This window comes from Homo sapiens, chromosome 3 (genome assembly GCF_000001405.40).
Source record: "Homo sapiens chromosome 3, GRCh38.p14 Primary Assembly".
NCBI lineage: Eukaryota > Metazoa > Chordata > Mammalia > Primates > Hominidae > Homo > Homo sapiens.
The window spans coordinates 88,807,014-88,825,380 of NC_000003.12; the positions used below are offsets into that span (position 1 = coordinate 88,807,014).

Genomic DNA, 18,367 nt, shown 5'->3' on the forward strand with positions numbered 1-18,367 from the left:
TGGTACATATGTAGAGTCCTTTATATTTATTATATTTTAAAGATATTTTTCTTTATTTGCATCCAACTTCGAAACATAGTCACTAATTCCAAGTCAAAGCAATGTTATTTTACTAATTACATCTTTACATGTTATATCTCATTTTTAGTAATTCCTTAATTTTAATTTATAACTTTATGAAACTTTGCATTTAGATCAATATATCATTTTAAAGTAATATAATTTTCCCCATTTATAAAATAACTTTATTGGCCTTGTTGTCTTCCCAGTCTCTCTTTTTATGTATTCTTGACATAAAGACTTATTGTTTTTATTCTGATCAATCAATTACTATTTTTTTCAATAATGCTTCTTATAAAGCTCAGTGACAATATACATGTCATACCTGCTCTCCTTCTCTTAAATACATAAAACCACAGTGCCAGAAAAGCATTATTCAAGTTAGTTAAAAGATTTGGTGAAAAATGGTAATAACAAATTCTAGAACTTTTTAAAAATTCACCTCCACCCACCCTCAACCTGAAAAATCCAAATTTTTCTTATATGTTAATAGTGTATAGAGAAGAGATTGACCCTGCCCCCTGCCCCACCTCCACCTCTGCCTCCCACCAATATCCGTGTTAGGAAAGCTTGGGAACTCCACATCTGGAAGTTCAGGCCCAGAGATAATCATCTCATCACTTTGCCAGCAGGAGCTCTTTCTCTCTGTCTCTCTCAATCTCTTTCTCACTGGCTCTACAAGCTTAGTTTTAAAGAAGTAGCTTAAGCCTTTGACATAAATTTCCCAGTATGAAGGGTATTGTCTGAAACTTATACAAGTGGAGACAATGTAAATTCTAAAGTGTCTAAAATACTTTTTAGTGTAATGTTCTGCAAGAATGTGACTCAATAAGGCATTCAGCAGTGACTCATTTTGCAGACATGAGGACTCGTCTTGCATCTTGGTTTAACTTGTCAATATCTGATATTCTTAATAGTTTGCCTGAAGCAACTAGCAAACTCTGGGCTTAAAGGGCAATTGCAGATAATATTTAACTTTTAACTCTATTCCGGAGTTTAACTGTCATTTACATGATTACTTAGAGTGACATTCCTGAACAGTGAGCTCTCAGGATAATTAAAATTTAATTTTCTTTAGGGATAGAATACAGGAGATTATGTTCAGCTTATTAGAGCTGACCCTTTACTCCTAGACAATTTTCCAGTTTAATTTGGCTTATGTAGTACATAATTTATGTGGCCCTGGTTATTATGTACTGTACTTTTATTCTAACAGATGCTGCTTTAAATGCCCAAATTAAAAGTTCTCAATTCCTTTACTATTGTAGAAAGTAGCATTCTGCACGGGAAATAAAGGGGAAGAAAAAAATCAAGTGAGAATAGACTGTATTTTTAGACAAAAAAAAAGAAGTTCAGAAAAAAATAGCAATTATAAAATCATAAAATATTTGCAAATTTACCTTGAGATCTTATATTGAATTTTGCCTTTATTATTATTTCTGGAACACAAAAGAGTGCCTTAATTAACAAAAGTTTTTTAAAGTTTTAAAAAAATCATATTGCTAGTGTAAAAACGTATTGTCTGAAACTATAATATTCAGTATGGTATAACTGGCCACATATGACTATCTAAATTTTAAAGATTAATGAATTAAAATTAAATAAAATTTAGAATTCAGTTTTTAGTTGCATTGGCTGCATTTTAAGTGCTTAATAGCCATGTTTATCATATTGAACAGCACAGATGAGAACATTTCCATCATCTACTGATTGGACAGCGCTGGCTTCAAATAATACTTCTGGTAAACCTAATCGTTTCTCTTACATATGTTGGTGCTTTCTCCTTAAGTATAGTTGCTTACTACTAGGTCTACTGTTGCTTACTACTGGTTCTACTGTTTGAGGGCCTGAAAGTGACACCTTACCTTGTATGTTGAGGTGATCCAGTAACAATGTTGCAAAATTAACAGCAAGCCTGATGTCAAGCTGTCTGAAATTTCCTGATCACCACTGAAGAAAATGCCTAAAATCAGGGTAAGACTGAGGATCAGAATGTTTTTCTGGTGAGTTGAGGATCTATTATGAAGACTGGAGCGCTTGGAAGAAAACGAGAAAAAGGCATATTCTATGTGGTCAAAGGATTAAGTTCTACCTAGGCCCATCCTTGGCAAAATTCAAGAGTCCTTTGAAAATTTGGGGTGATTGAAATGTGTAAGGTGGAGAGGGAGCTCCCTAGATCCGCTGCCTCATCTGTGCTTCCAAATCTTCTGGATGTTCCAACATTTGAAATAAAGAGGATTTGACTGTGTAAAGATTTTGGGATGTTGAGACTAAGAAAGTTAGAATATAATAGTGCAGGGAGAAATCGATTTGGGCCTTTCTTCTCCTTAGGAGAACAAAAACTAGAGATAATGGGTACAATTATGAGACTATTTTACAATATCCAGGGAAATCTCAGTCCTTTTGGAGTGCTATATTTTCACAGAATGGAAAAAAAAATCTTGTGGAATATATTTTCTATTGTCTTTTCAGCATATTTTAGAGATTTTTTTCAAGTTTAAAATGAATTAAATTAAAAAACATATATTTTTAAAAAGAAAAATACATTAAGATGAATAAAGTTTAAAAATCACAATATTGAACATTCATATTCAAATTTTTCTCTATTTTTCTTCTTTTGAATAGGACTCTCAAATTAAAAATGTGACAATGTAAAACTGTAGCATCAGTGTCTAAGTCACCTCCTGAAAGGCAATAGGCCTGGAGATAGCAATATTAGGTATTTACCATTCCTTAACACTGTCACTTTTTAGCAGGGTGTTTCATATATGGTCAGTGGATGATAAATAGGGAAAGCCTCCAGTTTTTGATATGGGGAATAAAGAGGGAACTAAAAAAGCTTTGAAAACTTCTAGGGAGCCTGTTTATCAGAAGAAAAGCACCAGGAGCCACGAACATTAATTTCTGATATGAAGTCCTTTACTGACTAGCTGCATGAGTTAGGATAAATTTCTCTACATGTTGGGAGTTGTTTCCTCAAATGTAAAATGAACAGTTTAGAACAGTAGTTTCCTAACGTTCTCTGACTATTGCATTCCTAAAAGTAAAATGAACAAGGGGAAAATCCCAGCTAGTAAAACACATAAGACTTTCACTGTAGAATGGCACAGCATTTCAACTTAGCAAAACGGTATTTTATGTTGTGTTGATACAGGAATGAAACTTTGGAAAAGTTCCATCAATGTAGACTGATTACATATATTAAAGCTATGAGTATGTAATAAACTATGTTTGTCCAGAAAAAAGGGAACAATTTACATCATGTGGCACAGAAGTCTGTCTCTGGCAAGATAATAAACTTCTCTGTTTCTGCTATCTAATAAAAATAGGGGGACTGAGAATTTAAGTAAATAAAGCTGAAATTAAGCAAATGCCCGTCCAGAGGCAGAAGGAGATTAAGGGCTCTTTTTCATCAATATTTAATTTACTAAGACACTCTTTAGTTAAGTAACTTTCTTATACCACTTGACAGCTTGGTTCACCCTACAGTGAGCCAAGGCGATTCCTAAAATAACCACACTTATGCTACAGCATCTCATCAAGGTTTTGCCAACATGTTTTGTGTGACGTGGGAAAAGATATAGCCCTCTGTGCAAATCGTGAACCTAAATAAAGACAAAAACGTTCTTGACTTCAAAGTTCAAGCTGTGTGCATGACTCAGCCTGGTAGTGTCACAGCTTGTCAGCACTGCAACTTTTTCATTACATGTATTTCTTTGGGCTCTGTTTTAGGAAGATATTCAATTTAAGCAAAAGAAAGTTGGAGTCCCTTCTAATCATAAAACCTAACATTGAAAATAGCCTTCAGACCCAGAATTGCAAACACCGAGACACAACATAATTATCTGTCTTCCTTACTCTGACTGTTAGACTCAGCTGCCTCCAAAGAAAATGGAAATGATATGGTCCTGGAGGGAAAACAAAGCAAAGTCAATCATTTATCTTCCCAAATTTTCAGGACTATCCTAATTTGTATACACTTTGCATTTCTCTTGCACAGGCTGTTGTTAACCTACCTTGATATCTTACATACCTGATGAGGTGACTGAGCCTGATGCCTCTTCTCCTTGATCCTGAGACTATTTCTTCTCCTTAGGAGCATCTCATTTATTTTACCAAGGAAAAGTTAAATTTAGCAAACGGACCCTTTCACAGTTGAGAGTTCTTGCTGATCTGAGAGCCTGTCAAGGTGATTCTATGCCAACTTGGACCTGTGTGCAGTCGAAGCTTCCAGTCTTGCCAAATGTTGTGCTTATTTTGTGACAAAGATGAAAATCACAGTTGGATTTAAAAGGAGGCCGTCTAACTTATTTTATTCTTGTCTCAAGTCTCTGAATCTGTGTCTCCATGACTGAAAGCTTTGTAAATAAACAGGTGTCCACTTATCCCAATGTGAATTAAAGTTTCATGGAGCCAGAGGGAGAGTTGATTTATTTAAAAAACGAAAAGTTATTGTAATACTTTTCTTTGGTATGTGGAAGTAATAGTTACTCTATAATTTGTTCTGTACATATATTAACACCCATACTCGTAATGTTTTCATGGGATTTATAGTAGGTGTGTTACATAAAAGGAAATGGATTTGACAGATGAACTAGACAAGCTCAGGTCAATGTAAATAAATGTTTATGGACTGGTAAGTTTTTCAGTAAGTGCCAGAGAGAGGTCATATGATGTGTTTATGCTTTTATGTACAAGATACAAACACAAAAATATGTATGTAAGTAAACAAAATAATATTCCCCCATTTATTATTAATGTGTCTGATATAGTAATGCACAAATACACATGCACCTTTATGCAAAATCATATTTTCTTCTAATTAACTTATTTCCCCAAGCACCTAAGAATTACGTGTTTGAACATTAAGCATGTTAGGTACCTGCATTTACAACTACTTCAGCAAACTAAATGCCCAGAGTGCCTAATTTACAACAGCACAATAACTTAGGCATTTAGAGATCCATTCAGTGGGATTACCTTGTTTTTACTACTAAATTTAGGTTTTGGTGATGATGTGGTATTAACTGTAAAGTCAATTTTAAGAGTTTTGAAATATATTAATATATAATATGCATAGCTACATAATATTCACACAATATAGAAAATATCCTCTCTTGAATTATCTTAGTAATTATATTCTTGAACACATTTTAAAACCTTTATTATTTATGAATATACTCATTTTCTATGTTCATCTCATGTAGCATATGCATAAACTTTTTATGTAGGTATTTAAGGAAATAGGCATAAGTAGGCATCTTTGTCATACATATCATTTGTTTTACAAGCATTTATATTCCCTGGTTGGAGATTTTAGGAATTTTACTACAGGATGATCAATTATTTAATTTAAATATATAAATTATTTAATTACAAATAAAACCACAGCAGGTTGTCAAAATACTTCACAAACAGAAACCAAAAAAACCCATTATGTCTGTTTTTTAAAAATACCTCAATAATTAGTCTCATGAAACTTTCATTATTTGAACATCTTAATTATTTAAATCTATAAATTAACGAATCTAATGACACAGTATTGAAATTTCACCCTAAATGTACAAAGCCACTTTACTCAAGGATGTCCTAACAGCTGGGTGGCCTAAGAAGGCCTCATTCACATGTGTAGCATTTGGAAGCTAGCTGTTGGTATGGGGTCAGAGGAATGACTAGAATGCAGGTGACTTATTCCATAGTTGACTCTCTCAGGCATTCCACATGGTAGTCATAGGATTCCAATAGCAGTAAGGGTATAAACACTTTCAAGCACCTTATTGTATCGCATTTGCTATAAACCACTGACTAAAGCAAGGCGCATCACCAAGACGGGACTCAGAGTGTGAGGGGTGTATAATGGGCAAGGACTCAGGGGGGCAGAATAATCTGTGGTCTTTTCCGTAGTATTACACAAGAGTACTAAAGGTTTACATCCTACTGAAGGAGCTACCTTTCTAAGCCATTTATTGTTTCTTTTATAGTTTTATCTTATTGTGCTAAGAATACTTAACATGAGATCTACCCTGTCAACAATTTTTTTAAGTGTACAATGTATCTCTCTTGATTATAGGGAATAGGGAAACAGGAAACAGGAGAGTTACTAATTCATGGGCCTAAAGTTTTAATTAAGCAAGATGAATATACTCAAGAGATAAGTCTTGAAGAAAAAGGTCACTGGGTGAGGTGTTAAATATGTCAATCAGCTTGTTGGAAATCTTTTTGCAATATATACATAAATCAAAATGTCACATTGTATACTTTGAATGTATACAATTATTTATTTGCCAATTATACCTCAATAAAGCTTGAAAAAAAGATAATATTCCATGTTTTGAAGAGAATGAAAATGAGCTTAAGTAGCAGCTTTATAGATATAACCAAAGTTTAAATATCAGGAAGCATAGTTAGCAAATAGAAATGCCAGGGATGAAGTATCACAGGAGGGCAAGTGTAATGGGCTTGCCCCTTATACTTGTGAGGGATATTGGGGTGATGGGGCTCCTTAAAAGTATTTATTGCATTATATATGCATGTGTGTATGTGTGTGTGTGTGTGTGTGTGTGTGTGTGTGTGTATGCTTTCTGTTATAGCTGCAAAAAACCAATGTCCCTTCCTTACTCATACTAACCAGATACAGTATTTTCTAAATATGGTCCCTGAGCCAGGTGCAAAGGTACAGCTTGAGATGTTTGTGACAATTACAGCTTTACAAGTCCTATTCTCGAGATTTTTGACTCAGAAACACTAGGATGGTGCTGAGTAATGCAATCTGTAATGAACATCTCAAACTCTTCTGTGAACAAGAAAGGGTATGTGGTGGTTCAAAATCAACTTTTATTCCTTAAAGAGTTAGGCACCAACAATATTTTGTATTTGTTAATTTATTTCTTCTCACGTTTCCAGGCATTTCTTCTCCTTCTAGGTGCCCAAATGTATAATGAATCCCCTCCTACAAGGAACAGAAATATTATTTATAGTTTGAAATTACTTTTCAATCTTAGAATCTCTAATTTTTGAAAATAAAAAAACTTTGAATACCAACACTGAGAAGAATTATGAAAATGAAATCAATGGATTATCATAGTGTCCTACTTTTAAATGGATTTGCTATTTTTGGTTTGTACCTTTCAGAGTTGTGTTTCACAAGGGGGAAAGTGATGTTTTGCTTCCAAATTCACTTTTGTGAATGGGATTTTAAGCTTGTATCCAACTATTGTCACTATAGACATACAAAAATGTAGGTAGGTTTTGTAAACATAACACTATGGAGCACATTGCTGTATTAAAAATAGAAGTCAGATATTGTGACTTCCCGTAGAGGCTTCTTGTGACAACATAACATTTCAAGGCACTGAACTAGGTACAAAAACAAGCTGAGGAGTCTTCTTTCCTAAGGCTATCCATATGTTGGGGTAGGCTTGGATCCAGTCCTACCAAGAAGTTGGGGAACTAACTAATGAGTCCTGGTGTTTCTTCCTGCTGACAATTCTATATGCCATTATAAATCTTTCAAGATATGCGGTTCTCTAAACAGGTTTTGAACAATTAAACATTAAATTTGTAATAGAAGCAGACAGTGAGCGCTCACAATCATAATTTTCAAAATAAAAAGCTTTCCTGTCACCTTATTCACTTATCTAAATATGCAACTATAAGCATTGAAGTTTTTCAAGTAGAAACTTAGGGGTGCATGAGCTATAATCAGAGTGGGGAAGAGGCAGGAACAGATTGTCTTTAACATCAGGCAAGAGTGTTATCTTGGACTGTCTGCTCAGCCTGAGGTGCTTTGACACTTCTTTCTAGCACACCTAAAAATACTTTTTTTTTTCCCTCCTGCTGCTGCAATCACGACCTTTAAGTCAATCAAAAGAGCACATAATTTCTTTTCTGAATATATCAATGAACAGCATCTTCAAAGACTTAACCATACTGTCCTTATTGAAAAAGAGTAAACAGCACAAAGAGTAAAACATTTTTCTCAAATCATACACACAAACATCTAAAAATAAAGGATGCATATATTTTTACAGAACTCTGTGTAAAAATTAAGACCTTAATGTTATCTGTAAAATATCAAGAAAAGCAAAGAAAATATATTTGATTCTTAGGAGAATTAATCATGAACACTAAAAAAACTAAGGAAGACTGTGTATTTTGAAGACATTATTTACCAGAAATATATATCCAACTAAATCTATGTTTTAAGCATCAAAAGGCACAAAAATTTCAAGCTTTTTATGAATTCATTTATTCACTCAATATACAATTATTGAACACTTACTGTATGCTGGACTCTGTGCAAATGCTGAGAACCCAGAGACAATTCTCCAGGACTTACTAGCTAGTGGCAGAGACACATATATTAATGTCATTAAAATTATGAAAGAAAAAATACAAAGAGTGTTGATAGCAAGTTGCATGGCTATATAGTTTGAGGGTCAAGGGAAGCATAGTAGAGAAATAGACATTTGAGTTCAGATCACTCTGTGCTCTATGAAACTGAGTCACAATTCTTTTTTCTGAGTTACTATCCCTTCTCTGTTCCCATAGCAAACCGTGTGTGCACATTAGCCATAATGATATGTTGGTTTTGCTGATTTGACTTCTAACACTTAAACAGGGAGTTCATGGAGAGAATGGACTATACATTCTGAGTCTTTTAAACTCCAGCACATGAAATGTAGAAAGCTGTCAATAAATGCCTACCAAATGAATAAATGACGTAAATGAGTACTTGCATAATATGTTTGAATATGTGTATTTTTGAATTTCTGTAAATGTGCATTTATAGATATTATTTTTTCAACTAGCATCAAAATTCTTCTTAGGAAGGAAATACTGTTTAGGAAATTATGTTTCTTTGATGTGGAAAATGAGACCCTGAAGCTATACTGTGAAAATAAACTGCAAAAGGAAACTAATAGCTAAGCTTCTATGCTTAAAAAAAATGAAGATAAATTTGGGAGTGTGAAAGTAGAGAAAGGTGAAGTATAGAGATGGAAGTGTGAAGAAGGTAAATCACAGGTGGGGAGGCTGAAGACTAGGCAGAAAAATGACCAGGCAGAATTTTTCAGGGACAGAGTGACCAAAATTCTGCTAAATCACAAAAGTGTCTAATAAGGAATTTTAAATATTTATATTTCTGTAATGTAAAATCTCCTCTATTCCCAAGGTCCAGTAAATTCTATAATCTTATCTTTGGAAAACACAAGTAAAATAATCTGAGTTTGATTTATGACTTAGTGCAAGGGAGAGAAAAGACAATGACCCTGAGGGATGGGCTGTAGCAAAGATTAAGGATTTATCAAGAGGATTACCAGGTCTGGATATTATGAAGTTACTGGTACTGGACCAGCTATCTTACGGCAGGCAATCATAAAGCTGGGCAAAATATATGAAACAAGTTCTTTCTTTATTCACTCACAGTATAATTATTGAGCCATTTCTCTGTCTTAGACACTGTGTAAGTGCTATCAACAAGCGGCACAAGTCTCTGATCTTTAACAGAGTAAAAACTCACAAAGTAAGCCTCATGTCTCCCCTAGCCAAATCAACATTTACCGTGCATGAAGCTAAGTCAATGAAGGGCAAATACAACCTGCTCAGTTTTGATTAGAGTTTGGAACAACTGCTGTAACTGGAATGTCTGGTGCCATACACTAGAGAAAAATACATTGTGCAGAAGGAAGTATGAGAGTCCCTCACGCATCCTTGCTTGAGGACTGTGCTGCATATATACGTGACTGAATTTTCAGAAAACAGTTGCTTCTGGGTTGAGAGTGAAGTTGAGCTCATGGAGGTAAGGAGAACCGGCAGATTTTGGGGATCTAGCCCGGCCAGAGTGGAGAGAGATCGCTAACACCTTATTAAGACCTTAGGCATTCCACAGAGACACAAAAAGAGCCAACTTATGAGTGAGGACCACACCATATAGTAAAGACTTCTCTATACTTACCTTAACAAAGTTTAAAACCAAGACTTAAAGAGATCAGTGCTTTGGAGTTTGAGACCTACCAAGTTTGAAGTGGTTGAGGAATACTGGGATTCTACAAACTGACTTTCACAAAGCATACGAAAAAGCCTGTACAATTTCAAGGTGATCATCCAGTAATTGGACTATTAGAAAAATAAAAAAAAAACAACACTTCAGAGAGAAGGTAACAGAATCTGGCGTCTCTATAATGTATTATCCACAATAGCCAGTACACAAGCAGAAATGTGATCCATGTTCAGGAAAAATAGCATTCAAGGAAAACTAACCCTGAAATGGCTGGGATGTTCAATTTATAAGACCAAATCTTTTTAAAAGCTTGTGTAAATATATTTTAAAAATTAAAGAAAATATAGTCAACTAATTAATGAGTGACTAGATAGGGATCTCAGCAGACAGTCAGAAACTAATAAAAGTAATCAAATCAAAATTCTAAACTCAAAGAAAATGAAATAGAAAAATTTCACTGGAGGTATTTAACAGCATATAGGAGATTGTAGAAGAGAAAATCAGAAGACTTGGAGACAAATTACTAGGAATAATCCAGTCTGTAGAATAGTGAAGAAATGGGGACAAATGAACAAAGCCTAAGGGTCAATGTCAAATAATTTATCGTACATCTGACTGGGATCCTGAAGTAAGAAAATGAGGGAGAAGGAAATAGCAAATGAAATTACATTTGACAATTTGCAAGATATACTGTAAAACACCACCTTTCACTTTAAATAATCTCAGAAAGCCTCAAGCATTAGAAATATAAAGAAAAGCGCACATAGTCCCATCATAATCCACCTGCTGAAAAGCGAGCATGGAAAAAACACCATGGAAGCAGCCAAATAAAACAGACACTTTACATATGGAAGAAAGGATGATGCAAGTTATTACTGACATCTCTTTTAGAAAGAGTAAAGGACAGAAAAAATAAAATGACCACTTTAAATTACTTTAGAAAAGAGAAAACTGTCCACTCAGATCCTACAAGTTATTTTATATTTAAACTTCTAACTTTATTAAGTAAGAGTATTACTCACCTCAATATTTAAAAATAATTTTTAAAGACATTATTTAAAAAATAATTTTAGAGCAGTTTTAGGTTTACAACAAAATTGAAGAGAAGGTACAGAAGTTTCCCATATACCGCATGCCCTCACACATACATACTATCCCCCATTATCAACATATTCCACCAGAGTGGTACATTTATTACAGTTTCTGAACAAATATTGACACATCATTATCACCTAAAGTCCATAGTTGGCATTAGGGTTCACTCTTGAACTCTTAGTGTTATACATTCTATGAATTGGGACAAATGTATAACAACATATATGCACCATAATATTGCCATACAGCATATTTTAACTGTCCTAAAAATCCTCTGAACTCTACCTAGTCAACCCTTCCTGTTTCCTAACCCCTGACAGTCACTGATCTTTTTACTTGTCCACAGTTTTGCTTTTTCCAGAAGGTAATGTAGTTGGAATCATCCAATCATATGTAGCCTTTTCAGACTGGATTCTTTCACCTAGCAATATGAATTTAAGTTTCCTCTGTGTCACTTTATAGTTTGTTACCTCATTTCTTTTTAATACTGAATAATATCCCACTGTCTGGATGTACCACAGTTCATTTATTATTCACCCTCTTAAGGACATCTTGGTTTCCTCCAAGTGTTGAAAATTATAAACAAAGCTGCTATAAACATCCATGTATAACTTCTTGTGTGGACATAAATTTTCAATTCCTTTGGGTAAATACCACGGATCATGGTTGCTGTATTGTATGGCAAAAATGTGTTTTGTCATGTAAGAAGCTGCCAAACTATCTTCCAAAGTTGCTGCATAATTTTGCATTCCCACCAGCAATTAATGAGAGTTTCTGAGTTTCCACATCCTTGCCAGCATTTGGTATTGTCAGTGTTCTGAAAGGTCATCCTAACAGATTTGTAGTGGTATCTTACTGTTGTTTCAATTTGCATTTTCCTGATGACATATGATGTGGAACATTTCTTCATATGCTTATTTGCCATCTGTATACTAACTTTGGTGAAGTGTCATTTAATGTCTTTGGCCCATTTTTTTAATTGAATTGTTTGCTTTCTTCTGAATATGTTTTAAGAGTTCTCTTTATGTTTTTAATAATAGTCCTTTGTCAGATGTGGCTTTTCCAAACATTTTATCAAAGTCTGTGGATTGTCTTCTCATTATCTTCACATTCTCTGCTACAGAGCAAAAATTTTTGTTTTAATGAAGTCCAGGTTTTTGTATGGTGTATTTGGTGTATCTTAAAAGTCATTGCCATACCCAAGGTCATCTAGGTTTACTCTTATGTTATCTTCCAAAAGTTTTATAGTTTTGTATTATGCATTTGGGTCTATAATTCATTTTTAGTTAATTTTTGTGAAAGTTATAAGATTTGTGTCTAGGTGTATTTTGTTTTTTGCATGTGGATGTCCAGTTGTTACAGCATCACATGTTGAAAAGACTATTTTTCTTCATCGTATTGTTTTTGCTCCTTTGTCAACTGTCAAGATTAGTATAGTTATGTGGGCCTATATCTGGGCTCATTATACTTCTTTAGCCATGTATTTGTTTATTTTTTCACCACATTGTCTTGATTACTGTAGCTTTACAGTAAGCTTTGAAGTCAGGGAGTGTTAGTTCCCAACTTTTTTCTCTCTTTAAACATTGTTCGTTATTCTGGGTTTTTCTGCCTCTCCATAAAAACTTCAGAATCAGTTTGTCTATATTCACAAAATAACTTGCTCAGATTTTCATTGGAATTGCATCGAGTCTACAGATAAAGTTGGGAAAAACTAACATCTTGATAATATAGAGTCTGCCTATTCATGAACATGGAATATCTCTAATTATTTTATTTCTTTCATCTGATATTTTAAAGCTCTTCTCATATAGATCTTATCGTAATTCTTTTGAAAAACATGAATGTTAGTGCTGAAAATACTGCATCATTTGGATATTAAACATTCAACCAACCATTATCCTCTTATTATTTTTGCTTGTTTTTATGCTTTTGCAACTATAGATTGCTTATCAATCAAATTCATTTCCTCAGAATAAATATATAAAGATTAATTCTGAGGCCAAGGGTGAGAGTATTTTAGATTTTTATAACTAGTTCTAATTATCTCAAAGGTAGTTATACTAATGTACACTTTATTACTGTAGTGCCCAAGAAATCATTTTAATATACTTTGCTAATATCAGAGGCTCTCATTTAAGAAATAATCTATATCAATTATAGAAGTGAACAATTACATCTTTGCTTACATTAGCATATATTAATTATTCAGAATAATTTACATTTTTCATATGTTTATTGCCATTGTATTTCTTGTTTTGCTAATATTCTATTGACATGAATCAGATAGTCTTAATTGTGCACAAGCCAAAGAGGAAAGGCGTTCATATGGTTAGGGCTCTTTATACGATACTTTATTTCACAAGCATCGGTATTTATTAATATTTGTAAATTAAAAATGTCAAGTATGGTTGTGCTATGTCAGTGGTCAATAGTTATTATTTACTATTATCTTTTTCAAGTCCTTAGTTAATAAGAACATTATGGGTTGTTCAAGACTATAATAAACACAAAATTAGTCTTTGTACAAACTGAAATCTGCCTTTAAAACATTCCTCATGAGGCCAGGGGCCGTGGCTCACGCTTGTAATCACGGCATTTTGTGATTGTCTTGTTAGATAAACTTTGGGAAGCCGAGGGGAGTTGATCGCCTGAGGTCAGGAGTTCGAGACAAGCCTGGCCAACGTGGTGAGACCCCGTATCTACTAAAAATACAAAAAAAATTAGCCAGGCGTGGTGGTGGGCGCCTGTAATCCCAGAAACTTTGGAGGCTGGGACAGGAAAATCTCCTGAATCCATGAGGCAGAGGTTGCAGTGAGCTGAGATCCCATGAGGCAGAGAGGTTGCAGTGAGCTGAGATCGTACCACTGCACTCCAGCCTGGGCAACAGGGCTAGACTCCATCTCAGACAAACAAACAGACAAACAAAACATTCCCCATGGATTTTCTTATTGTTGTGGAGAAGTTTCCATTTCTTATCACAAGGTAGAAAAAGCAAAAGAACAAAAAACTCTTGGCAGGATGAAATTAAGTCACTTTCAGAATCTTGTGCTTAGCAGATTAGCCTGAATACAGAAAACAAACTGTTTCTAAGCCAATTATCTGACAAACAACTAAATTAATTTCACGCTTCAGCTTATAGGGCTTTATTTGGTCACTGGTAATACTATGCCACTATTTTCTCTCTCTTAAAGCTCAGATATGTCAGTTATAAGATATCTATTGGTTTATAAGAGCAAGTAAGACTGTTTCAGCAGATTTGGTGGCTAAAGAGAAAACAATTACCTCTTTTGTTTTGCAACTCTGGTGAATATTACATGAGATACAACTGACATCAAATATAAAAAGACTGTAAGAAAAGTGCTTCAAAGTATTTTTCAATGTAAGGTTAGTTATGTAGAATACCTTTCTGCTTTGTTGGCATCACAATAACACAGGGTTCCCTTGTCTGTCACTACCCTCTAAATCCAAGGACTTGATTTAATTGTATTATTATTATCAAAGACTAACTCATGTTGGATCTGGAACAAGATTATTTAGAAACAAAGCAGCCCTAGATCCTTGGTAACGTATCAACAGGCCATCCCAAAATACTTCTCTATTACCAATTGAAAGGGCTGATTCAATTTTTTAAACATGGATTAATACGGAAAAATGGAAGGTAAAAGGGTAAAGCAGCACATAAATAATCCTTCTAACTTTACAGTGATCTTTCATGAATGGAGGAGGGCTTATTTGCTAGGTAAATGTCACACAAGTGTTGAGAAATAAAAAAGCCAGCAAGTCTTGTTAGACAAACTTCTCCACCAATCCACTTTGGGATGTATTCTAGGAGCTACACCATTTTTTTTGTTTGTTTCGGGATAATGACATAAAATGATGCCAGTCCAGGTGAGGTTGCTGCATGCAAATATACTAAACACACTGGAGGTACATTTCTATGCTACATTTTATGGCCACACAGAGACAAGCATTTTATTAATGGCATAGAGGTAAGGCCTTCTGTGTCCCATTGTTTTATATCTGTGGGGAAAAATGTTATGCTTTTTTTTCCCACGTGCTACGGCAGTTAGTGACTGAGATGGCAGCACCTTATCCAAGGACATTCAAAAACATACAGCACATTTGCCTATAGCAAACTATGGAAAATGTAAGACACGCTCATTAATCAATCCTAATCTCAGCGGAACAGGGTATCATGAGACACTTTTTTACTTTCCCTGTTCTTTAATAAGACATTCTCATAAAGAGAATATAGAATTATACAGCTTGAAAGTGGCGTGCCATTAAATGAGATGCAGTGCTTGGGGCTCCTAATTGCAAAATCGTGAGTTTATACATCACTGTTTTCTAGACGTATTTAAAAAATCAGCACATGTTTTCTCATTTACTCTCACACTTCAGCTAGGATTAAGGATCAGGATGGAAGCCTGTTTATGTGACCTCTGAAAAGACCATCCAGGAGAAACCACTTTGGATGCTCTACTTTAAAAAGACAAGTAGGCAATGTATCCAAGGCTTGCTGTCAATGAAATGAAATGGTTGGAAGTTATTTTTGCCCTCCCCTCAATTAGGTGAGCAAACGGTTTATTGAGCATATTGATTAAACTGTTTTCCATCTTCTCTGCGTTTCTGCAAGCAGCAAAGTGCCTGCAGAATCTATAGGCTGAAACTTCAAATTTTGAAGTTGATAGTTGAAGAAAGAGTTAGTTTTTTTTTCAATAACGTGAAACAGTTCAATTTTGGATTCACACTGCCAGAATCTGTTTAATGCTTCCTTGTATTTAAGCAATTAGTGTATGCGTTTAAAAATGTTCCTACGTATAGATTCTTAGCCATTTTAAATTAGGACTTAACCACTGTTTAATTTTAAGCAAATACAGGGTAGGGAAAACATTTTATTAAATACTTCTGTATTACACTACAAAATCTCTCGTATTTTACAGACAAAATGTGAGACTTAAAGTAATAATTGAATCCTCCTTTTAGGTCATAGATCACATACACATACACACACAAAAAAGCACATATTTTCTATGTGGAGAACATATATTTTTTAGAGAATAACAGGAATGCTCTAGCAAATCTGACCTTAAAATAAAAATCTGTCTTTTGTTTTTCTCCTGAAAATGTATGTGAATTTAGAAATTTCACTTAACTATAATGATTGATTATTTATTGTGTGCAAGTAAAGAAGAATGTAAGTATCAATTTCCCTGAAGTACATTTCCATGGGAATAAAACTATATGAAAATGTACAAATGTAAAAGGAAAGGTAAAAAGTATTTAAGAAAGATTTTCAAAATGAAGGCTTATGCAGAAAGAAAATGTAGTTTAATTTTTCTTCATTTTAGTGAGTTAACAACAATGAATATTCCTATTCAATTCAATTCAACAAATATGTATTGAGTAACTATTTATTGGATAGATGTTGGAAATAGAGGAACAAATAAAACACAGGCCTTCTGTCCAGTTACTCATTGTTTAGTTCAAAAAGACATTTGAATACTCTGGTAATAAACCTGTGACATCAAGTTATCAATTTTTAGTCTTTTGTATTTATTTATATCTTAAACTTGTACTTAAGTGAAACTATTTGCTAGCCCCACTATGAATAATAAATTCCAGAAGTTTATTTATATTTAAAAGTAAAAATTATGTGTAACCTCTTCATTTTATGGACTGAATGATGTTTGGGTGTTGGGATTTTTTCCCCACACAGTGTGTCAGAAAACAATGAAGCTGCAATCTCAATTCTATCTCTTCTGGTGTTCATGATTGGATAAGGCTACTAATTATAGGAGCCAAAAATGTCAATAGGAGGGAAAACATGAAGAAGCATCATGTTCTGCTTGCTCCCTCATTCGCTACACACAGCTGCATTTAGTCATGATGGACTAATTAGCTCTAGTTACTTTTGTTGTTATTTCAATGGCTTTGCTAGAAGGATAGAAGGAATAGTATGGCAGACAAAAATAATATCTCCTGTATCATCTAAAGACTTAGAGATATCATAGCAAGTAATGAGGAATCTACTCTTCCCTGAGATGGCACGATCAAGATGGCATCTTCAAAATAACCAAAAATGAGAAGAAATGTGTAACATGAATAAATAAAGTTCTGTATCTATCCCACTGACTTGCATTAAAGGTAGAATCAATACAACTTATGGTAAACAAATGCCATTATAATTTTAAATAGTAAAACATTAAACTTTTACTACTTTGCCAATATGAGAATTCTTCACTTAATAAACACTACATTTATTTCCCAGAGAGCTTTGTCCTGTGCATTTTTCAGGAATACTCAAACTCTCATGTTTTCTCACCATCTCTTATGGATGGAATTCCTAAGAAATTAACTGCAGAAAGATACATTTAGCTTATTAGGTTTTGGGCCAAAGTGATCCCTCCCACATGGCAATACACGTGGAGTCAAAACCACGTGTAGACGAAGAAAAAGTGAATGTGTATGGCTCTATTCAGAGGCAACTGGCTAGGACACTATTTTCAGTGTAAGTCCCATGTTTGGCTTTAATAACAATTACAAGTAGCCGTAAAATGTACTTACTGTGCTATCATTAATTCATGTGGTCAAAATGCTGCTGAGTTGGCAGATAAGTGCAGCCCAAAGCCTAACTTTCATAACTCTGGTAACGATCAGTGGGGCACACAAGATCTTCAAGTCACATAATTGTGGTGATCTCAGTATGCTCAGTTCTGGTGGACCATTGCCCATACCACTAAATCAGCATTCACAGCACTATGCACATATGGCACAGCTGGAGTACAGTGGGGGCCCAGGACTTTGTTCACTTGGGGGCCAAGTCACTCTTAACCTCCATAAAAGACATCCCTTTAAAGAACAGGGGAAAGGTCATTGCAGCTCATGCCAAGTGTAAAAATAAGAACTACAGACAGGAAACACTGTTCAGATGTTGTAGGGCTGTAAGCCTGTTTTATGTCTGCTCTGAGCCCTCTGTAGCTACAGGAGACCAGAGACGTACTCGCCATCCCCATTTATGCTAGGTCTGCAGCCCAATGGGCCCAGACATTAAAAACAGGAAAAATCCAGGGGCTAATCAGGAATTGCCTGTCTCAAAGGAATGACATGAAATACTGCAATAGGACATTGTGTGATTGGACTTGTGACTGTGATGTGTTGTTGTGGGTTGTAGATTGAGTGTTCAACATTATGAATGTGTGACACCGAAGC

At 34.5% G+C, this 18,367-nt stretch overlaps 1 annotated feature.

Annotated features, from left to right (window-relative positions):
- Positions 458-959: an enhancer, noted in NCBI's record as "NANOG hESC enhancer chr3:88856621-88857122 (GRCh37/hg19 assembly coordinates)". NCBI's record gives its function as "activates a minimal SCP1, AML or CMV promoter by ChIP-STARR-seq in naive H9 embryonic stem cells {active_cell/tissue: H9 hESC(naive)}" and the evidence as "EXISTENCE:reporter gene assay evidence [ECO:0000049][PMID:30033119]".